This window comes from Homo sapiens, chromosome 4 (genome assembly GCF_000001405.40).
Source record: "Homo sapiens chromosome 4, GRCh38.p14 Primary Assembly".
In the NCBI taxonomy this organism is placed as follows: Eukaryota; Metazoa; Chordata; class Mammalia; order Primates; family Hominidae; genus Homo; species Homo sapiens.
Window position 1 is genome coordinate 88191788 of NC_000004.12, and position 24037 is coordinate 88215824.

The following is a 24037-nucleotide window of genomic DNA, read 5'->3' on the forward strand; positions in this document are numbered from 1 at the left end:
GAAGTACTAATTCATGCTACAAGATGGATAAACCTCAAAAACATGCTAAGTATAATAAAAGTACAAAGCAATTATAGGATTCCATTTAATGAAACACGCAGAAAGGCAAATCTTTATAGCTAGAAAGTTGTCTGGGGCTTTGGGAGGCCGAGGTAGGCAGATTACCTGAGCTCTGGCATTCGAGACCAGCCTGGGCAACGTGGCAAAATCCCGTCTCTATTAAAAATACAAAAAATTAGCTAGGCATGGTGGCGCATGCCTGTAGCCCCAGCTACCCAGGAAGCTGAGGAGACTGAGACATGAGAATCACTTGAACTCGGGAGGTGGAGGTTGCGGTGAGCCAAGATCGTGTCACTGCACTCCAGCCTGGGCGACAGAGCAAAACTCTGTGTCAAGAAAAAAAAAAAAAAGAAAGAAATTTGTTTGGGGTTTGGATGGGAAAGAAAAATGACTACAAATGGGCCTGAGGAATCTTTTGGGGGTGATAGAAATGTCCTTAAATGGGGTTCGTAATGACTATACTATTCTATATGTTTATTTAAATTCACTGGATTGTATACTTACAAGAGGTGAAAATTTTGAGACCTAATTTCAATGAAGCTATTTTCCCTTCCCTTTCCTTTTCCCTTTCTTTTCCTTTTTTTGAGATGGAGTCTCGCTCCATCGCCCAGGCCCAGGCTGGAGTGCAGTGGCGCAATCTCGGCTCACTACAAGCTCCACCTTCCAGGTTCAAGTGATTCTCCTGCCTCAGCCTCCCGAGTAGCTGGAATTATAGGCGCCCACCACCAAGCCCAGCTAATTTTTGTATTTTTAGAAGAGACGGAGTTTACCAGGTTGGCTAGGCTGGTCTCAAACTCCTGACCTCAGGTGATCCACCTACCTCTGTCTCCCAATGTGCTGGGATTACAGGCATGAGCCACTATGCCTGGCCTTTTTTTTTTTTAAACGGAGTCTTGCTCTGTTGCCCAGGTTGGAGTGCAGTGGCGCAATCTCGGCTCACTGCAACCTCTGCCTCCTGGGTTCAAGTGATTCTCCTGTCTCAGCCTCCCAAGTAGCTGGGATTACAAGCACCCACCACCTTGCCCAGCTAATTTTTTGTATTTTTAGTAAAGACGGGGTTTTGCCATGTTGGCCAGGCTGGTCTCAAACTCCTGACCTCAGGTGATCCACCCGCCTCAGCCTCCCAAAGTGCTGGGATTACAGGCGTGAGCCACCGTGCCCAGCCAAAGCTATTTTTTTAAAAGCCAATAAGTGACAATGTGCCCTTTCAAAATATATTAAAAATATATAATTATTTATTTAAAACATTTAACAATTTGTATAAAAACATATTTACCATGCCTTCTCACGTACTATATACTGAAGTTTAACATATTGGGAACATATATGTTAACTTGTGCTATTTTTATTGGTATCTCAGAATAAATCTTCCTTTGCCATGTCTGTTTAATCAGAACTATAAAATTATAAGATGAACAAAACAACACAACACAAAAACCTAAAATCATTTCTGACTGCTAGTACATGAGTGAGATTTTTTCTCAATATTGTACGATCAAAACAAATACAGAAATAAATTTCAGAGGCTTACTACAGCTGAAATCAGTGAACCTTTCTCACAAGGTTTTTGTGCTAAAAATACTGTTTTCACTGTATAATTTCCTGATAAGCAAATGTTATAATTTTAGCACCTAAAGTACTTGCATCAATAACTATATTATTATTTTTATATATTATGGTTATGTAATTAATTTTTAAGAGGTTTCTGTTGCTAAAACAAAAAGTATCTGAATTATCCTGGATCATAGGCAATACAATGATATCAAGCTCAACTACATTTTTGCTAGTAGGCTGATTAGAAACAAATTTAGTTGAAAAGAATACCTTAATATCCTGGAAGGCTGCCATGAATGTAGATGGGATTTTACTTCATATAGCAAAGGTTTGAATTTTTTATTTTATTTTATTTTATTTTGAGACAGAGTCTTGCTCTGTTGCCCAGGCTGGAGTGCCATGGCATGATCTTGGCTCACTGCAACCTCCACTTCCTGGATTCAAGCGATTCTCATGCCTCAGCCTCCCGAGTAGCTGGGACTACAGGCATCTGCCACCACACCTGGCTAATTTTTGTATTTTTAATAGAGATGGGGTTTCACCATGTTGGCCAGACTGGCCTTGAACTCCTGACCTCACATGATCTGCCCACCTCGGCCTCCCAACCTAATGGGATTACAGGCGTAAGCCACCATGCTCGGCCAAAGGTTTGAATTTTAAAAAAACATTTTCAAGAAATCAGATGTTCCACTTCCTTTTTCACCTGACATTTCATAGAAACAGAGTGCTCTTTGCCTTTTCCTCTTTCCTGTTGGCTGGAATTGAAGCCCAGGGACTGGAGTTCCTGTAGCTACCCTGGACTGTGAAATGACTTTGAGAATGGAAGTCGCATATGGCAAAGCAACAAGACAGAAGGAGTGTGGGTGCGGCCGGGCACTGTGGCTCACGCCTGTAATCTCAGCACTTTGGGAGGCCGAGGCGGGCGGATCACGAGGTCAGGAGATAAAGACCATCCTGGCTAACACGGTTAAACCCCGTCTCTACTAAAAATACAAAAAATTAGCAGGGCATGGTGGCAGGCGCCTGTAGTCCCAGCTACTCGGGAGGCTGAGGCAGGAGAATGGCGTGAACCTGGGAGGCGGAGCTTGCAGTGAGCCGAGATCTGGCCACTGCACTCCAGCCTGGGCGACAGAGCCAGACTCCGTCTCAAAAAAAAAAAAAAAAAAAAAAAAAAAAAAAAAAAGTGTGGGTGCTTGAAACAATGAAATTGCTATACTGTCTTTGGAGTGACTGCTTCTATATTTCTTGAACATGAAATAAATAAATGTCTATTTTTTTCTTCCACTGTCTTACAGCTAAACTTGATCCTGAGATAGGAGTGGTTCAGACAGAGCTGTAGGCACGAAGGCTGACACAGGAAAGCGCTTGGCATCTTGAAAAGATAGCAAGGTAAATGTAGCTGGAGTACCAGTAATGGGAGGGAAAATGGTAGGAGACAGGGCAGGAGTTAATGGGGAGCCCGATGGTGTAAGGCCTGGTGGCTCACTGGGACTTTGAGCTTTAATTTAGATGTGGGAAGCCATCAGAGAATTTTGAGAAGAAAAATGACCCAACTGGTCTATGTTTTAAAGGAATCTCTTTGTGGAGAATAGACTTATGCCAATGCTTAGAAGTCATCATATGAATAAAATGAGTATTTATTACAATATTCTCTATACTTCTTTTACACATTTAAAATATTTTACCGCCAGGCCTGGGGGCTCACACCTATAATCCCAGTGCCTTAGGAGGCTAAGGTGGGAGGATCGCTTGAGGCCAGGAGTTCAAGGCTGCAGTGAGCTGTGATGGCACCACTGCACTCCAGCATGGGAAACAGAGTGAGACCCTGTCTCTAAAAATAAAATATTCCAGATTATAAAATTTCATGGAAAACTGATCACAGTCACATTTATTAACTGGCCAAAGCTAAAACTGTATCATTTATAACTAATTTTACTGTAACATATCAGAATAAAGAATGTGTTAACTTAGAAGGGTTTGTTCCGGGCTATCCAGAAAACAGATAGGGTCCATATAATATGTGGTCGGCTTGTTAGCAGCAGAAGGTATCCTAGTCACGTGGCACCAAAATATGTTAGTAGCGGCCAATCCACACAGGTCTGCAGCAACCTCAGTTCTTGCCTTTTCAGAAGAAAGAATTCGACAGAGCAGCATAAGGCAGAGTGAGAGAGCAAGACAACTTTTAGAGCAGGAGTAAAAGTTTATCAAAAAGCTTTAGGGCAGTAATGAAAGGAAATAAAGTACACTTGGAAGAGGGTAAGTGGGCAACTTGAGAAATCCCATGCACAGTTTGACCTTTGACTTGTGGTTTTATACACTGGCATACTTCCGGGGTCTTATGTCCCTTCTCCCCTGATTCTTCCCTTGGGCTGGGCTGTCTGCATGCACAGTGGCCTGTCAGCACTTGGGTGGGGCCACATGCACAGTGTGTTTACTGAAGTTGTATGCATGCTCAACTGAGGTGTTTTTCTCTTACTAGTCAAATGTTCTCAGGAGGCCATATACCAGTTAAACTCGGCATTTTGCCTCTTAGTGCATGTGCTTGATTGAGCCCATTCGCCCAGCTCCTGAGATCTTATCAGGAAGTTGCTGATCACTAGTTTCAGGTGTTTCTATCTATTGGGAGACGACCTTTCCCTGGCGCCAGCTGCAACCAATTACTATTTTGCAGAGCCAGTGTAACAACTGCCTGACCATCACCTGATGGTGGCCTGACATTCCTGGGTTGGGGGTCGGGGACACTCCTGCCCCGCACATTTCTGACTAACTACTGTAACAGACTAGAGAGCTCTGCATTGGAGCTTGCCTCTGGGTTTTACTAACTTGGAGGGTGACTTTGACTAAATCAGTCATTTAACCTTCCTAATCTACCAAAATGTAGTCATCTTTACCTGCAAAGATTTTGTGAGGATTAAGTGCTTAGCATTGTTCATTGTTCCTAGCACAGAATAATCATCCCATAAGTGGTGTCTTAATTATCTTTAACCACAATTACCAGAATCTGAGAACACTTAACTACACTTTTAACACTGAATCAGGGCAATATAAAATTTGCAGGCATAAGGAAGTTTTTCTGTTATGAGTGGAGACAGCTTCACACAAGGATTTTCCATTATTTGATGCAAAAGCTGTCAAGTGCATCTCCTGTTTTTTTAAAATCTGGTAAGTTTGCTTGTGGAAGAAACTTGAGTATCTCAGTCATAGGAATGCCCATAAGAAAACCAATTAATTACCATTCTGATTCATACTTCAATTTCTTCTGATTCATAAATTATTATGAATCAGCAACTATGAACCTCATCAGCACTAGCATACCGAAAAGATCATTTCTGGGCCCACGTTTTACCTCCTGGAACTTTATGATGCTCTTACACTGAAGATTACCAAAAAAAAAAAAAAATCCCCTTTAGCATCGGACTGCGCAGGGAAATTTAAACCATTTTTAAATACACCAGAACATTCTGTTCTCCTTAACAAGACCTGCCTTTAAGATAAACTATCTTATCAGAGGCTAACCTATTGAGGTTTTATGGGCACTTAAATGACCTTGGTGAAGGGAAATACCCAACCCCAAACCCCTCCAGCCATCCTGTCCTATTTAAGGTGAAAGTTTGAGGAGACTGAGAGGCACTGTGAAATTCACAGCCTAGGGGCACAGGCTTACTAAAAAAACCAAGACCTAATCATAGGACTGTAGAATATTACCCCCTACCCACCCCACCTCACCACCACATCAGGAAAGGCCTACCTACTAGAGTTCTTTTTACCCAGTACATCATGTCTGGCTTTCAACAACAAAAAAAAAAAAACAAGGCATACTAAAAGGCAAAAAATAGTTTGACCAGAAAAAGCATTAGAACCAGACACAGATATTTTAGGAAGGGTAGAATTATCAGAGTGGGAATTAAAAATAACTATGATTAATATGATAAAAGCTCTAATGGGGCCAGGCATAGTAGCTCCCACCATATTGGGAGAGTGAGGTGGAAGGACTGCTTGAGTGCAGGAGTTCAAGACCAGCCTGGGCAACATGGCAAAACCCTGTCTCTACAAAAAATACATAAATTACCTGGGCATGGTGGCATATACCTGTAGTGCTAGCTACTCAGGAGGCTGAGGTAGGAGGATCCCCTGAGCCTGGAGAAGTCAAGGCTGCAGTGAGCAGTGATCACGCGACTGCACTCCAGCCTGAGCAACAAAGTAAGACCCTGTCTCAAAATTAAATTAAATTAAAAACTAAAAAAAATTTTTAAATGAGCTGGGTGGGCTGGCATGTGGCTGTAGTCCTAGCTACTTGGGAGACTGAGGCAGGTGGATCAGTCGGGACCTGGGGTTTGAGGCTAGTGAGCTATAATTACATTACCGCACTCCAGCCTGGGTGATACAGTAAGACCCTGTCTCAAAAAATAAATAAGAGGCCAGGAGTTCAAGACCAGCCTGGCCAGCATGGTGAAACCGTCTCTACTAAGAATACAAAAATTAGCCTGGCGTGGTGGCATATGCCTATAATCCCAGCTACTTGGCAGGATGAGGCATGATAATTGCTTGAACATGGGAGGCACAGGTTGCAGTGAGCCGAAATCGCACCACTGCACTCCAGCCTGAGTGACGGAGCAAGACTGTCTCCAAAAAAAAAAAAAAAAAATCGTTTGTTTCCAGCTGGGCATGGTGGCTCATGCCTGCACTTTGGGAGGCCGAGGTGGGTGGATAACCTGAGGTTAGGAGTTCAAGACCAACCTGGCCAACATGGTGAAACCCCGTCTCTACTAAAAATACAAAAAACTAGCTGGGCATGGTGGCGCGTGCCTGTAATCCCAGCTACTCGGGAGGCTGAGACAGGAGAATAGCTTGAACCCAGGAGGCAGAGGTTGCAGTGAGTTGAGATTGTGCCACTGCACTTCAGCCTGGGTGACAGAGCAAGACTCCATCTCCAAAAATAAAAATAAATAAGCTGGGCATGATGGCTCACACCTATAATCCCAGCACTTTGGGGGACCCAGGCAGGAAAATCAGTTGAAGCTAGGAGTTCAAGACCACCCTGCAGAACATAGCGAGATCCAATCACTACAAAAACTACAAAAAATACCCAGACACAGTGGTGCATGTCTGTAGTCCCAAGTGCTCAGAAAGCTGAGGCAGGAGGATCACTTGAGCCCAGGAGTTTGAGGCTGCAGTGAGCTATGATCATGTCACTGCATTCCAGCCTGGGTGACAAAGGAGACTATGCCTCTAAAAAAGAAAAATAAATAAATGAAAGCTCCAATGGATAAAGTAGATGGCATGTAATAAGACAGATGGAAATTCTGAGAAAGAGTCAAAAAAATGCTAGAGATTAAAAACACTATGAAGATTGCCATTCATGAGCTTACGGGTTGACTAAACATAGCTGAAGAAAGATACTCTGAGCTTGAGGATGTCCAGTAGAAACTGAAAAGCAAAGAGAAAAAAGACCCAAAAAAGGGGGAGCAAAATATTCAAGAACTGTGGGGCAATTATAAAAAATACAGAAAGAGAGAAAGGAACAAAAACTATATATGTATATGTATATATATGTGTGTGTGTATATATATATATATTTTATTTTTGAGACAGAATCTCGCTGTGTCACCCAGGCTGGAGTGCAGTGGCGCAATCTCAGCTCACTGCAAGCTCTGCCTCCTGAATTCAAGTGATTCTCCTGCCTCAGCCACCCTAGTAGCTGGGATTACAGGCTCCTGCCACCACACCCAACTAATTTTTGCATTTTTAGTAAAGACGGGGTTTCACCATGTTGGCCAGGCTGGTCTCAAACTCCTGACCTCAGGTGATCCACCCACCTCAGCCTCCCAAAGTGCTGGAATTACAGGCGTGAGCCACTGCGCCTGGCCAAAAACAATATTTGAAGCAATTATGAACTGACAGTTTCTCCCAAATTAATGTTAGATACCAAACTACAGATTCAGGAAACTCGAAGAATACCAGGAAGAATAAATCCTAAGTAAATTACACATAGGTATATCATATTCAAACTACAGAATATCAAAGATAAAGAAAAAATCTTCAATGAAGTCAGAGGGGAAAAATATTCTTAACTATAGAGAAACAAAGATAAGAATTACATCTGACTTATTAGAAACCATGCAAGCAGGAAGAGAATGCAGTATATTTAACATGTTGGTAGAAAAATACCACCAACTTAGAATTCTGTATACTGTGAAATTTCCCTTCAGATTTAAAGAAGAAATAGACTTTCTCAGACAAATAAACGTCAGAGGAATTTGTTGTCAGTACATTTGTCTTGCAGAAATGTTTTTTAAAAGTTATTTTACTTTATTTAGGCCGGGCGCAGTGGCTTACGCCTGTGGTCCCAGCACTTTGGGAGGCTGAGGCGGGCGGATCACAAGGTCAGGAAATCGAGACTATCCTGGCGAACACAGTGAAACCCCGTCTCTACTAAAAATACAAAAAAGATTAGCCGGGCGTGGTCGTGGGTGCCTGTGGTCCCAACTACTCCGGGAGGCTGAGGCGGGAGAATGGCGTGAACCCGGCAGGCAGAGCTTGCAGTGAGCAAGATCGCGCCACTGCACTCCAGCCTGGGCGACAGAGCGAGACTCCGTCTCAAAAAAAAAGTTATTTTACTTTATTTTATTTTTTAAATAGAAGGCCCGGCATGGTGGCTCATGCCTGTAATCCCAGCAATTTGGGAGGCTGAAGTGGGCAGATCACTTGAGCTCAGGAATTCAAAACCAGCCTGGGCAACATGGCAAAACCCCATCTCTACTAAAAATACAAAAAATCAGCCAGGTGTGGTGACGCACACACTGGTAGTCCCAGCTACTTGGGGGGCTGAGATGGGAGGATCACTTGAGCCTGGGAGGTCAAGTCTGCAGTGAGCCCTGATCATGCCTGTGCACTCCAACCTGGGCAACAGACTGAGACTCTGTCTCAAAAAACAAACAAACAAAAAAATTGGAGACAGGGTCTCACTATGTTGGCCAGCCTGGTTTGGAAATCTTGGCCTCAAGTGATCCTCCCACCTCAGCCTCCCAAAGTGCTGGGATTACAGGCATTGGCCACCATGTGTAGCCAAAAGATGTTCTTCAAAGAGAAGAAAATTGTTAAAGATCAGAAAATCAATAAAGGTCAGAAAATGAAATCTACATAAAGAAAGGAGAACATTAATGTGCAGTGGTGGGATCTTGGCTCACTGCAAGGTCTGCCTTCTGGGTTCATGCCATTCCTATGCCTCAGCCTCCAAAGTAGCTTGGACTACAGGTGCCTGTCACCACGCCTGGCTAATTTTTTGTGTTTTTAGTAGAGACAGGGTTTTACCATGTTAGCCAGGGTGGTCTCAATCTCCTGACCTGGTGATCCACCTGCCTCAGCCTCCCAAAGTGCTAGGATTACAGGTGTGAGCCACCGTGCCCAGCCTATTTTTCTTATTCTTAATTGATCTAACAGATAACTGGTTAAAATAATAATAGCAACAATATACTCAATTGTATATGTAGAAATTTTGAACTAAATAAAAATGAAAATATAATTAACAAAATTTGTGGGATGCAGCAATTGCAATAAAAGGGAAATTTATGTCATTGGAAACATATATTAGAAAAAAAAGACAAATCCAAAATCAATAATGTGTACTACCACCTTGGAAAACTAGAAATAGAAGAGTAAATTAAAGACAAATTAAGCAGAAGAAAAGAAATAATAAAAATCAGAAAAAACATGAAACTGAAAATCAATAGAGAAAATTAACAAAAAAACAAAAGCCGGTTATTTGAAAAGATCAATAAAATTTATAAGTCTCCAGTTGCACTAACTGCAAAAAAAAAAAAAAAAAGAGAGAGGACATAATCACTAATATCAGAAATAAAAAAAGTAGACATTACCTGGTTGGCCCTGTCAGTAAAAGTTTTTTTAAAAAAAGAGTGGACATCACTTAAAGACCCCACAGACATTGAAAGGATAGTAACAAAACTATTCTCACGAATTTGATAACCTAGATGAAATGGACCAATTCCTTGAAAGATGCAATCTGCCAAAATTCACACACACAAATTAGACAATCTGTAAAGACCCAGGATTATTTTAAAAATTGAATCAATAATTAATAAACTTCCAAAACAGAAAGTCCCTAGCCCCAGATAGATTCACTGGCAAATTATATCAAACATTGAAAGAAGCAGCTGTACAGTTCTTTGTAATCTCTTTTAGGAGACAGAAATAGAGGGAATACTTCCTAACTCCCTAGCTACTCAAGGACCAGGGAGGACTATTGTGGGCTTCACCTGGGAGCTGGTTAGAAATGCAATATCTGTGCTTGCTTTGAGAGCACATATACTAAAATTGGAACAATTCAGAGAAGATTAGCACGGCGCCCTACACAAAGATAATACACAAATTTGTGAAGTGTTCCCTATTTAATAAAAACATATTTTTTAAAAATGCAGAATCTTGTGCCTCAGCATAAGCCTACACTCAAAACCTGCAAGTTCATCAAGATCCACAAGTCATTCATATGTACATTAAGTGTTAAGAAGCACTGGTCCTCAACCTATCTGCATACTGGAGTCTCCTGGAAGAAATTCTGATTTAATTGGTATGAGTGTGGCAGGGCTTTGGGATTTTTTAAAGCTCCCCAAGCAATTTAAAATTCAGCAATATCTAAAGAGAGGTCTTAGAAGCCAAGATCACAAAATGAATATCGGTGAAGTATCATTTTGCTTACCTCAAAGGGCCTTATCAATGGCACTATTCCATGGGCTGCCATCCAACCTGCTACTAATGGATAAAGTCCCATAATGCCCCATGTCAACTTTCGGCCAAGAAATTTGAGAGTCTAGGCGTTATGTGATGACTCACATCTGTAATCCCATCACCTTGGGAGGTCGAGGCAGGGGGACTGCTTGAGGCCAGGAGCTCAAGACCAACCAGTGCAACATAGGAGGACCCCATCTCTACAATTATTTATATATATATATATATATATATGTATATTTTAATTAGCTGGGCATGGTAGTGTTGTAGGACTTTCTCCTTAAGGTCCTTGTCACACAACCAGGAAAGATTAGGCTTGCAGACACTTTGAAAGGTGAGAAAAATGGAATTTATTGCGTGAAAAGGAGAAAGGGGAAACAGAGACTCTAAGCAAAGTGAGAGTTCTGCTAGCTGGTCTCTCACCTCACAGATTGAATCACAGGTTACCACCCGGGAACAGGAGCGTCCAGGCTCCTCCCCACTGCAAAGGGCTCAAACTTCCCATGGCTCCACCCCGTTCTCCCAGTGTACAGGCTGGTCAGAGGTTCTCCGGGGACCCCTTTATACTTGGCTGTCTCAGTAGTACACACCTGTAATCCTAGCTACTCAGGAGGCTAAAGCAGGAGGATCACTGGAGCCCAGGAGTTGGAGGTTACGGTGAGCCTTGATCACACCACTGCACTCCAGCCAGGTCAACAGAGAGGGACCCTGTCTCTAAAAATAGTAAATAAATAAGAAAATAAATTCGAGAGATTATATTTTTAGAAATATTTGTTTCAGTAGTTTAGTAGCACAGAACTTTCTGTACTTTACCTTTTCTCTTTCCCTTCCACCCAAATTCTTTACACTAATAGGGTAGGTTTCCATTTAAATAGATGTAAATTAATTAATTAAAAATGTTTTATTAGCCTGCTATTATGCCACAAATTATACTTTAATTTAATGAAACTAGTGTTCAGCACAATGCCAGTTTAATGGGGTTCCAACTTAAAACCAATAAAGCATTGAGGGTAATTCAAAACATTGTATTGCAAATTACTAAGAACTGGAGAGGTGAGAAGAGAGTGGGGGATGGAATTGAGGATGAGGCGAAAAGATGAAAGAACTGAGGGAAAGACCAGAGAAAGGAATACTCTCCTGTTCTTTTTGCTTTTGTAAACTGTTAATGACAAGTGGATTCTAGTAGCTGAATTCAATGATCCAGGGCCCCAGCAAACTGACAGTCATGGCTGGTTTCCATAGTTAACAACATGTAGAACTATTTCTTCAAAGAGGTTTAATTAGAATGTTCGAATATTGGAGCTTAAATATAACTGGAGAGCTTTGCCTAAGAAACTTAAACTCAGGCCAGGCGCGGTGGCTCATGCCTTTAATCCCCGCAGTTTGGGTCACCTGAGGCCACGAGTTCGAGACTAGCCTGGCCAACATGGGGAAACCCTGTCCCTACTAAAAATACAAAAATTAGCTGGGCGTGGTGGTGGGCGCCTGTAATCCCAGCTACTTGGGAGGCTGAGGCAGGAGAATCGCTTGAACCCAGGAGGCAGAGGTTGCAGTGAGCTGAGATCGTGCCATTGCACTCCAGCCTGGGTGACAACAGCGAAACTCAGTTTCAAAAAAAAAAAAAAAAAGAAAGAAACTTAAACTCATGTTTAAGACTTTCCTTAAACATGAGAAGGCAAAAGGCAACTACATTTTTCTGATATTATCGGAATAAAATTATTCCAGTGGCACAATATTTTTTTTTTACAGATTACCCTGAAATACTTACTCTCTACTTTTGTACCAGAAAATCTTAAAGCCACAGCTGGACCAAAGGTATGCCAGCTCCAAACTTTAAAAGAAAAGGTAACTCTTTAAATATAATTATTCCTTTTTGATCACTTTGCAAATTTTCTCTTTCCTCTTCCATTTCTCTAGTTTTCTTTTCTTCAAGTAGGAAATGATTTTGTTTGCTTTGCAAAGACCTAACACACCTCAGCTGTAAAGAATTCAAGCCGGCCGGGCTTGGTGGCTCATGCCTGTAATCCCAGCTCTTTGGGAGGCTGAGGCGGGCAGATCACGGGGTCAAAAGATCGAGAATATCCCGGCCAACATGGTGAAACCCCGTCTCTAGTAAAAATACAAAAAATTAGCCGGGCGTGGTGACAGGCGCCTGTAGTCCCAGCTACTCGGGAGGCTGAGGCAGGAGAGTCGCTTGAACCTGGGAGGTACAGGTTGCAGTGAGCCGAGATCGTGCCACTGCACTCCAGCCTGGTGACAGAGCAAGACTCCATCTCAAACAAACAAACAAACAAACAAACAAAAGAATTCAAGCCAGGCAGTTGTCTGCTGCAGAGCATATAATATTGATGATATATGTTTAGGGTCCCATTTGGACATGGAGAATAACTTTGCTATAGATATTCAATATAACCAAGAGCATAGGCATAAAATACTCACTCACAGTTGCCAATAATTCCAAGTGTATGCACAAGTTTTGCACATCTTCAGTATATTTTAGATCCTAGATCAGTTAGCCTTACTTGGTAATGCAAGAAAGCTTCATTTTATTTTATTTGTTCTTTTGCCTTAAAATAAAGGGAAATAGTTGGCAGTGTTTTAAAGGAATAAGAAGACTGGTTGCTTTTGGCAGAAGGGAATTTGTCATTCTCTCCATCAGAGAAGGATTAATTGTATTGTTTTGGAGGCAGTGGGGATTAGGATGGGAATATTTGAATTTCATTATTAGAGTAGGTGTATAAAATATACTTGTATAAAAATATACTTGAAACTAAAGTCCTATGCTGTCAAAAGATTTGCCATTTAAGTGCAAAATATGTTTGCAAATCCCACAAAACAGGAAGACCAGACTGTCTTGAACAACTTGCTCAGTGTCTTGAGAGTACTGCCAATTCTTACTCTTGGCTTTGTTTTCTGAAAGCTGCTTCCTCTTTGGCTAGGAGCTGTTCACCTTTTCCTGAAGTACGTCTACCAACAGGGGCACACTAGGAAATGTCTAATGAATTCCTGTAGTTTTATTTCCTTCAAATTCCACTGGCAGAGAACTTCACAGTGTGGTGAAATCACTAAAGATGTTAGTACTTGGGCTTTTCCCTACAAAATCATTGAAAAGTCTTCCAAACACTCCAGCAGATTGCTCTTCCAAGTCTCAGGACAGTCTTAATCTTAATCTTAAAATGCATAGCATTAAACCTCTAAGATATGTGTTCCAATTATGTTTTGAATTATGTTTTGAAAGTTGTTTTCTCTGAAAAAGTAGGGATCTAAACTTTTCTTTTCACACTACCTTTCTATATACACACAGACTCCAACTAACTTGGCATTAAAAATAAAAACTATAATATAAATGACCCATAGATGTACACTTTATTCTGAAAACTTACCATTCTGTTCCACTTTCATAAAGTTACTCTTATCCTTTGCATGTGGTCACCAGTCCCATCAGTTCTTCCTTTACAATGTTTGAGGAATCTGTCTCTCTCCATAACCTCTAACCTTACTTTATCTTAGCCCTTTATCATTTTATCTTTTATTTATTTATTTATTTATTTATTTTTGAGACGGAGTCTTGCTCTGTCGCCCAGGCTGGAGTGCAGTGGCGCGATCTCAGCTCACTGCAACCTCTGCCTCCCGGGCTCAAGCAATTCTCCTGCATCAACCCCCAGAGTAGCTGGGACCACAGGTGCACGCCACCACACCCGACTAATTTTTGTATTTTTAGTAGAGATGGGGTTTCCCCATGTTGGCCAGGATGGTCTCGATCTCTTGACCTCATGATCCGCCTGCCTCGGCCTCCCAAAGTGCTGGAATTACAGGCGTGAGCCACCACGCCCAGCCACCATTTATCATTTTATATCTGGGCTGTCTTCCAAGCTAGTCTCTGCCGACAATACTTCGTTCTCTAATCCAATCTAAACTGTCCTGTACCCTGTCTCCAGTATAATCTTTATTCTAGAACTATCAAACTCTTTCTTCATATTGTTGCCTGTTGAAAATCTGCTAGTTCTTCTCCCAACTGAAAGAATCAAGTCCTGGCCAGGCGCGGTGTCCTGTAATCCCAGCATTTTGGGAGGCCAAGGTGGGAGCTTTGCTTGAAGCCAGGAGTTCAACACCAGCCTGGGCAATACAGAAAGACCCTGTCTTAAAAAAATAAATGAATCAAGTCCAAACTCCTGACCCTTAGAAGCACGGCCACCACATCCTGATACTACACAGCCTTTTTCCACTCTTTTTCTTCTTTTTTTAAAAATTTTTTTGTAGTTGTTTCATTGAAAAAAATAAAATAAAAATGATAGTTGGATGCCATGAAGTAGGTGGCAATGCCTTAACTGTGTGCTTGTTGTCAGGCCCGAGGGCCTCTTCCATCCTTGTCAAGAGAAGTGTTAACCTTCTGTCCTTTCATACAACACTCCCCACTCTTCTTTTCTAAGACAGCTAGGCATCTCATAATCATGCCTCTTATTTTCTCACTTCCATCCTTCGTTCACACACTTGCTACTCATGCCGTTCCCCGTTGTCATATTTTTAAATCCAATGTATTAATTTTAATACCTAGATCCAGGCCCACCTTCTCCATGAAGTGTTTCTTCACTACCACTCTAGCCCACAGTGGTCTCGTCTTCCTTTGAGCTCTTAACATTTATTCTTGAAACAACAAACCCAATAGTCCCATAGATTGGTGCATTTACAAAACTTTAGCTAGACACAGAGCGCTGATTGGTGCATTTACAATCCTTTAGCTAACAGAAAAGTTCCCCAAGTCCCCACCCGACCCAGAAGCCCAGCCAGCTTCATCTCTCACCACCACAGCCCAGGTAATTTGCGTATTTTCAGTAGAGACGGGGTTTCACCATGTTGGCCAGGCTGCTTTCCAACTCCTGACCTCAGGTGATCCACCCGCCTTGGCCTCCCGAAGTGCTAGGATTACAAGCGTGAACCAATGTGCCCAGTCTCAAAGCAGTGCATTTTTATGCATAACAAGTATTTACTGCTTTACTTGAGACCCCTGCCACACTCTTCATAATCCAATGGAGAAATCTCTAGAACATTAAAGAATATTAAAAGACTAGAAAGACGAGCTTTTATTAACTTTTTCTGGGCTTTTAACACTACAGAGTTACCAGCTATTACATGAGTTCAATTGGACTTCCTACTTACTGATTTTTTTTAAATAACATTTTAACATTATCATCAGAGGCAGACTCTGTAAAGTGGTATAATATGGTTTCCTGTGACGTGGCATAAACAGGTCTACATCCTAGTCTCCTTTTTAACTGAAATCTTAGTGATATGAAACTGTGGACAACTGGAAAAGAAGTCTTTCTGTTCGAGGACAAGAAATCTGCTATTGGGTGCTGAGATATATTAAATTTGAGCTTTTTTGATCTCCTCGAGGGATATTTTTCTTTTTCTTCTCTTCAGACAGAGTCTTGCTGTGTCACCCAGAGCTGGAGTGCAGTGGCATAATCTCAGCTCACTGCAGCCTCGAACTCCTGCATTCAAGCAGTCCTCCTGCCTCAGCCTCTCTAGTAGGTGAGACTATAGGCATGCCCCAGTATACCTGGCTAATTTTTTTATTTTTAGTAGAGACGAGGTCCCACTATGTTATGCAGGCTAGTCTCGAACTCCTGAGCTCAAACAGTCCTCCCACCTGAGCCTCCCAAAGTGCTGGAATTACAGGCATAGCCACCGCACCCAACCTCATTTTGTTTTTTTCAATATCCCTGTCAGGGCACAATGAAGGATATTTTTGTTGGCTGAAAAGTCTATTCAAATGTTCATGTGAATTTTAGAAATCAATATAAGATAACTAAAGTTGTAAATTTAAGACTCTGCTTTTTCTTAGGGCTGTAAATTCAGTTTACAAATACTGTTGCTCTATCAGTAGGTGTAGCAAATTTCAGTATTCACTTCCAAGGAATCTCTCAATAATGGTTTGGTCCAATTTACAATCTTAGTTCATTAAACATTTCCAAATACTTTAAACTGTACTTGGAAGTTTAAAACATCCAGTTCTTTAGAGTGTCATTGGGATTGCCCTAGACCACCTCCATGTTCAGAGATTCACCGAAACAATTTACATAATTCAGTATATATAATCATTCTACTCATAGCTAAGATTTATTACTATTACAACAATGTTGCAAGGATACATAGCTGGATGATAAGGGTAAGCTATAGGGAGAGTCGGAGAAATCCATGGGCAAGCTTCCTCAAGCTCTCGCCTTCCCATGAAGGGCCACACAGAGCACACACTTCCCCTAGCAATGAAAATGCAACATTTGTGCAATACTTTGGCCCAGGGAACTCTACTAGAGACTTAGGGCCCAAGGTTTTTAGGAGGGCTGGTCGGGTAGATACACTCTGAAACCAAAATTACAGAGTCTCAGAAGGAAAGAAAGCAAGTGTGTGACCCACCCTTATCAGTTAACTGATAACTGGGGACACTGTGAAGCAACTTCCAGATGCTCCCTAAGAATCAAGCTCAAAAGCAGGGCTTTCTAGGGATAGCAGCCTCAAACAGATCTGCTCTGTTAACTTTTTTCTGCATACCAAGGTACTTCCATTTTTTAATTTAAAAAACTGAACTTTCCCAAGTGCTCAATCAACCCAGACAAAGCAAATAAATTGAATCCATAAATATGGCCAACCTAACTTATTTCAAGTGTCCCACTATTTTCTCCAAACTTGTGGTATTGCAACTTTAAATCAAAAGCCTAAATTACTTATTTAATTATAACATTTGAAATTGGACTGACAAAATTGGTCTTAACCAATTAACCTGGGAGGCGGAGGTTACAGTGAGGCGAGATCACACCACTGCACTCCAGCCTGGGTGACAGAGCGAGACTGTCTCAAAAAAAACAAAACAAAACAGTTCATACCTTGGCCAGGTGCAGTGGTTTAAGCCTATAATCTCAGCACCTTGGGAGGCCGAGGCAGTCGGATCACCTGAGGTCAGTTCAATACCAGCCTGGCCAACATGGCGAAACCCTGTCTCTACTAAAAATACAAAAATTAGCTAAGTGTGGTCGCACACACCTACAATTCTAGCTACTCAGGAGACTGAGGCACAAGAATCACTTGAACCAGGGAGGCAGAGCTTGCAGTGAGCAGAGATGGCACCACTGCACTCCAGCCTGGGCGACAGAGCGAGACTCCATCTCAAAAAAAAAAAAAAAAACAAAAAAGCAAACAAGAAACACCAAAAAAAACAAAATAAATAAAAACAAAATTCAGACCGGATGCGGTGGCTCACACTTATAATCCCAGCACTTTCAGAGGCTGAGGCAGATGGATCACCTGAGGTCAGGAGTTTGAGACCAGCCTGGCCAACATGGTGAAATCCCATCTCTACTAAAATACAAAAATTATCCAGGCGTGGTGGTGAGCGCCTGTAATCCCAGCTACTCAGGAGGCAGAAGAATCGCTTGAACCTGGGAGCCGGAGGTTGCAGTGAGCTGATGTCATGCCACTGCACTCCAGCCTGGCTGGGTGAGAGCAAGACTCTGTCTCAAAAAAAAACAAAAAACAAAACAAAAACAAAAAACAAAGTTCATACCTCTTTCTATAAGTAAAAAATAAAAATTTTAAGTGAAAGAAAATTTTTCAGTTTGATTAGCAGGGGTTGTGTTGGTGTTGGCAATGTTATATAAAATAATAAGTAATGATAAGTTTTAGATTCAAGCTACGTGGTAGTAGCAATATACTGTGCTTTTCCTTTGCCAAAGATAACCTAAAGATAAAACTAATAAACAGAATCTTCTCTGCTATTCACCATTTTCCCCAGTTGTCAGTTATTTTTGACTGAATACGTTTTTTGCTTTTGTACCCTAGTGGTAGATCACTCTTTGAATGCATCTTAAAGATGTGTCCTATAAAACAAAACAAAACAAAACACCCTAAGCATCCTGTATAAGACTATTACCTTGTGGGTATTCCTACAGGTGTAGAATGCTCATGCACATATAAGTTGGTAATAAAATGTTTTGATTGAATTAGATATAATTAGGTTAAAGATGTCAGTAATGTAAGTAATCCTACACACACACACACACACACACACACACACACACACATATACATATATACGTTTAAGACAGTGCCTCTCTATGTTGCCTAAGCTGGACTGGAACTCCTGAGCTCAAGCAACCTTCCCACCTCAGCCTCCAGTGGCTGGGACTGGAGGCAGGCACCATTGTGCCTGGCTAGTAATGCAATATTTTTGTGTTCGTTGAAGGAGAGTAAAATAAATTGTAAAATCTATTTGTAGTTTATTTTGAAATGCTCTCCCCAGCAGCCTTACCTTTGCCTTATTTTCTTGAGGTCCTATTTACATTCATCCCATTCAGTGAGGATGAAGGATGTTGTTCTAAAACAAAAAGAATGGTAGAAATAAGCCCCATATAGTTAAAAGTGTGCTGGTAGCTATAAATACATACTTTTTCTTTTCTTTTTTTTTTTCTAAGAGATGGGATCTTGCTCTGTTGCCCAGGCTGGAGTGCAGTGGTACAATCATAGCTCACTGCAGCCTCAAACTCCTAGGTTCAAGCAATTCTCCCACCTCAGCCCCTGAGTACCTGGGAATATAGGCACTTGCCACCATTAACTGGCTAATATTTTATAGAGACAGTCTTGCTTTGTTGCCCACACTGGTCTCGAACTCCTAGCTTCTTCCCAAAATGCTGGAATGACAGGCATAAGCCACCACACCTGACCCATACATACATTTTTTTCAAGGAATAACAGAAGCCAGAGTTGATTTTATTTGCATTTGTTAAGAAGAGGCGCAGATGCCATGTTCTGCCCCTGTATTCCCAGCTACTCAGGAGAATGAGGTGAGAGGATTTCTTGGGGCCAGGAACTCGAGGCTGTAGTGCCCTGTGACTGCACCAGGGATTAACCACTGCACTCTAGCTTGGGCAACACAGAGAGGCTTGGTCCCTAAAAAAATTAAAAAATAAAAAAAATATATATATATATGTAAAAGAAGAAGAGAGAGTAGTTTGGCTAATTAAGGAGAGGATGTGCTAAACAGGGGACTTAACAAAAGCCACTTTCATTGTGTATTTTAAAAATTATTTTATTTTAGATTCAGGGTTGCACGTGCTTGTTTGTTACATAAGCAGATTGCATACTGGTGGGGACTGAGCTTCTAGTGTACCCAATGTCCAAATAGTGAACATTGTACCTGATAGGTAATTGTTCAACCCCTGCCCCACCCCCCCCCACTTTTGGAGACCCCAGTGTCTGTTATTTCCATCATCATGTTTTCGTTTTAATTTTCTTTTTGAGATGGAGTCTCACTCTGTTGTCCAGGCTGGAGTGCAATGGCGCGATCTCCGCTCACTGCAACCTCCGCCTCCCAGGTTCAAGTGATTCTTCTGCCTCAGACACCTGAGTAGCTGGGACTACCGGAGTACACCACCACACCTGGGTAATTTTTTTGTATTTTAAGTAGAGACGGGGTTTCACTGTGTTAGCCAGGATGGGCTCGATCTCCTGACCACGTGATCCGCTTACCTTTGCCTTCTGAAGTGCTGGGATTACAGGCGTGAGCCACTGTGCCCGGCCGAGAACTCTTTACTTTCAAATGACCAAGATATTTTGGGGAATACAGCAATTCTCTTAACTTGAAGATACAGTCAAACCGGTACTGCACTAAAGGGAAAAACGGGATAAGCAATAAATAGAACTAGAGATGTGGGCCAGAGGGGAAAGTCTTTCTCAAGCCTCTCTTCCAGATAAAATCAAGTTTGGCCATTTTTGTCTTACCTGATTGCAGTCAAAAGCATTTCGAGTGATTTATGGGAATTAGAGCTTTTGGTGCACAGCTAGTTCATTCTTAAATTGCCCATGCTTACATAGTGTAGGAGAAGGTGTGAGTCTATGTCCCAATTTACACATACCGCCCCCAAATAATTATTAGTAGTGGCCTCTTCCTCTCTCAAAAGTATGATTGCCCTAGCTTTAGGTGAAAACCAAAAGTAATCATTTGCTGGACTCTGGCGCCCTCTTGTGATTAAAATTTCACTTTCTGATATTGCTTATTCTGAGATGAGCGACTACCAAAAAATATGAACATCCCAAAGTGGATCATCTAATAACTTTCCCCAGAAGATCTCAGCTTTGAATTTCATGTCATTACACTTTAACACTGACTACCCCTGCATGGTTGCTGCCATCTTCAGATTTCAGAAGCATCTCCCGCCTGTATCAGTAATTGTAGCCCCTGGTACTGTCACTCTCTGTGACACTACTTCTGTCTTAATTCTTGGTGAATTCAGTATCTCCGAAAACGATCTCCCCAGCACTCTGGCCTCTGACTACCTTGAACTTCTCTCCTTCAGTGATCTTGTTCTCCACCCTGCGTTACCTATGTACTTGCAGGTCATGCCATAGAACTTGTAAGCATAGTCTATCTTTCCACCTAAACCCCTCTAATAACCCAACTCCGGCAAACCTTTGACCTTGCTCCACCAGGGCCTAAAACCCATTAATTACACCAGTATTTCACTGTGCCTCACCCCTCACTGCTTTCTTTAGTCACCATACCTGCCGAAATTCCATGATCATTATAATTACATCCTTGCAAATGCCCTCAGCTCCTCTGCTCCCCTTTTGCTTTGTCACTCGCTTGGCAAAACCACAAACCCTACTTAAATTCCTGTCTCCCCTGCTCTGTGCCTGTACCCCTGCAGTTGAACGTGGGTGGAGAAAAACACATAAGAATAATAAATTATTTGATTTTGTGTTTGAATTTTTATTTTTTTTGAGACAGGGTTTTGCCCTGTTACCCAGGCTGGAGAGTGCAGTGGCGAGATCTTAGCCCACTTCAGCCTTTGAACTCTGGGGCCCAAATGATCTTCCCACCTCAGCCTCCTGAGTAGCTGGGACTACCAATGAATGCCACCGCACCCAGCTAATTTTTAAAAATTCTTTGTAGGGACGGGGTCTCACTGTATTGCCCAGGCTGGTCTCAAACTCCTGCGCTCAAGCAATCTTCCCACTTTAGCCTTTCAAACTGTTGGGATTACTGGCTTGAGCCACAAAGACCTGTAATTATCTGATTTTAAATTCTTGATCAAGAATCTCAATGCCGGGACCCTCAGTAATGCCTGACAACTCATACTGTACTTCCCTAGCCCATTCACTCTTCTGTTTCCTATTTCAACACCGAAACATTTTCATCTTTCCCCTCCCATAGTCATTCTCAGATGATAACCTTATGTCCTACTTGACTGAGAAAACTGAAGTAAGTAAAAGAGAACTTCAGATTCTGTTCACCGTATCTGCCCACCCACCTGCATCTGCTGCCTTCTCTCCTATTACCCTACCCTAGAGGAACTGCCCATGTTACTAAGGCCTAAGGCAATGTCTCTACTTTGCATGAAGTCTCATCCCCTTTTTCCTAACTCAATAACAGCACTTTTCCCCTTTCTCTTCTATATCATTGTATATATATGTATATATATGTGTGTGAATATATATATATATTCCTCTCCACTGATTTGTTTCCCCACAGTATAAACATGCTATATTTCTTTTTGTTTGTTTTTGAGACAGAGTCTTGCTCTGTCTCCAGGCTAGAGTGCAGTGGTGCGATCTTGGCTCACTTCAACCTCCGCCTCCCGGATTCAAGCGATTCCCCTGCCTCAGCCTCCGGAGTAGCTGGGACTATAGGCACCTGCCACCGTGCCCAGCTAATTTTTTGTATTTTAGTAGAGATGGGGTTTCACCATGTTGGCAAGGATGGTCTTGATCTCCTGACCTTGTGATCTGTGCCCACTTCAGCCTCCCAAAGTGCTGGGATTACAGCCATGAGCCACCACGCCCGGCCTTTTTTTTTTTTTTTTTTTTTTTGAGACAGAGTCTCATTCTGTCGCCCAGGTTAGAGTGCAGTGGTGCAATCATAGCTTACTGAAGCCTTGAACTCCTGGGCTCAAGTGGTCCTCCTACCTCAGCCTCCTAAGTAAGTGGGACTACAGGCGCATACAACCATGCCTGGCTAATTTCTGTATTTTTTGTAGAGACAAGGTCTTGCTATGTTGCCCAGGCTGGTCTCAAACTCGGGCTCCAGCAGTGTACCCGCCTCAGCTTCCCAAAGTGCTGGGATTACCACCACTAGCCCACTGTTATCTATTTCCCCCATCCTCAAAAATATTCCTCTTGATTCCACATCTTCCAACTACTGCTCTATCGTTTTGTTCTCTTTTACAACAAAACTCTTCAAAAGATACTCACTTCTCCAATCCCTCCCCCATTCTCTCTCAAATCCACTCCAATCAGAACGATGAGACACATGACAAATTGTTTTAAGCCTTTAAGTTTTAGAGTGGTTTGTTAGGTAGGGATAGATAACTGGAACAATATGCCAGAGAGAGCAGTGCAGGTCTTCTCTAGGAGAAGACAGAATCTATATACTAAGAGAGTTGAGCCAGGTGTGGTGGGTCCTGCCTGTAATCCTGGCACTTCCGTAGGCTGAGGCAGGAGGATCACTTGAGCCCAGGAGTTCAAGACCAGCTTGGGCAACAAAGATCCCATCTCTACAAAAAAAAGTTTTTTTGTAACGATTCTCCCATCTCAGCCTCCCAAGTAGCTGGACCAGAGGTACATGCCACCGCACTCAAATCTGTTTTTGTTTGTTTGCTTGTTTGTTTTTGTAGAGATTAGGTCTTGCTATGTTGCCTAGACTGAACTCAACTCCTGGGCTCAAGTGATTCTCCTGCCTTGGCCTCCCAAAGTGTTGGGATTATAGGCGAGAGCCACAATGTCTGGCCTACAAAAATTTAAAAAATTATTAGCCATGCAACATGGTGCACACCTGTAGTCCCAGCTATATGGGAGGCTGAGGCAGGAGGATCACTTGAGCCCAGGACGTTGAGGTTTCAGTGAGCCATAATTATGTCACTGCACTCCAGCCTGGGTGACAGAATGAGACAGTCTTAAAAAAATTTTGGAAAAAAAAGAGAGTTGCATGACTTTGCCAGAATCAGAAGAAGACTGGGGAAGAGCTGAGAGTGTAAATTATAAGGGTGTTAGACCAATGGGGATAAAGTATAATATTCAAGCCAAATTAATTGACCTGAGTGTACTCCCCCAGGATTTAGAATATAGCATGTTGGCTGGAGTACTGGGGATGGTCCTAACAGTCTGAAAAAGTTAGCCAATGAAATCCTGGACTCAATGATAGTTTGGAGTTAATGAGGTTGAAATGCCAGAAATTTCCTAACATATTATAGACAAAGAGTTACAAAATTCAAGGAAATAGGACTCGGTCCATTATGTTCAATCTTCTCAGCCATTTACTAACTTGACTCTTTTGGGAGGATTCAAAAAACTCTCCTTTCACTAAGACATAAGGAAATGCACTAGTGAGTCAGGGACTAGCATCCTCAAGGAGCACTGTAGGTCACAGCTGTTGCTGGACAAGGCTGCAGTGAAAATGTGTGCTTTCATTTCAGTGGGAATAATGGGGTCCTGGCATGTCAAAGGCCAAGTAGTAACTTCACTGTTAGGGACAACATGGTGCAACTACCACAGTAAACCACAGAGATGGAATAGTAATCGAACTGCTTTGATCTGCTGTGCCCCCTGGCAAGGGCTAATGGATGATGGGGTCCTGAAAAATCATTAATTCGCTGCTTCCTAAGATGCTGCTTGACATCTAGGCAGAAAAAAA

The 24037-nt window shown here is 42.0% G+C and overlaps 1 protein-coding gene and 2 pseudogenes across 3 annotated transcripts in view; 1 reads left to right on the plus strand and 2 right to left on the minus strand.

The window, feature by feature from the left end:
• Window positions 1–24037, minus strand: part of ABCG2 (ATP binding cassette subfamily G member 2 (JR blood group)) — a 141363-nt gene that overhangs the window by 101524 nt on the left and 15802 nt on the right. The window contains exons 2-3 of one of the 3 annotated variants that reach the window (XM_011532420.4): window positions 19879–20016; window positions 18662–18727 (exon numbers count right to left, since the gene is read on the minus strand). The exons of 1 other annotated variant lie outside the window; for it this stretch is intronic. The gene's annotated coding sequence lies outside the window, so the exon portion shown is untranslated. The remainder of the gene's footprint in view (window positions 1–18661; window positions 18728–19878; window positions 20017–24037) is intronic. One more of the 3 variants, NM_001348985.1, reaches the window with a different exon arrangement.
• On the plus strand, window positions 9916–10023 carry RNU6-818P (RNA, U6 small nuclear 818, pseudogene; annotated as a pseudogene).
• On the minus strand, window positions 14641–14765 carry RNU6ATAC31P (RNA, U6atac small nuclear 31, pseudogene; annotated as a pseudogene).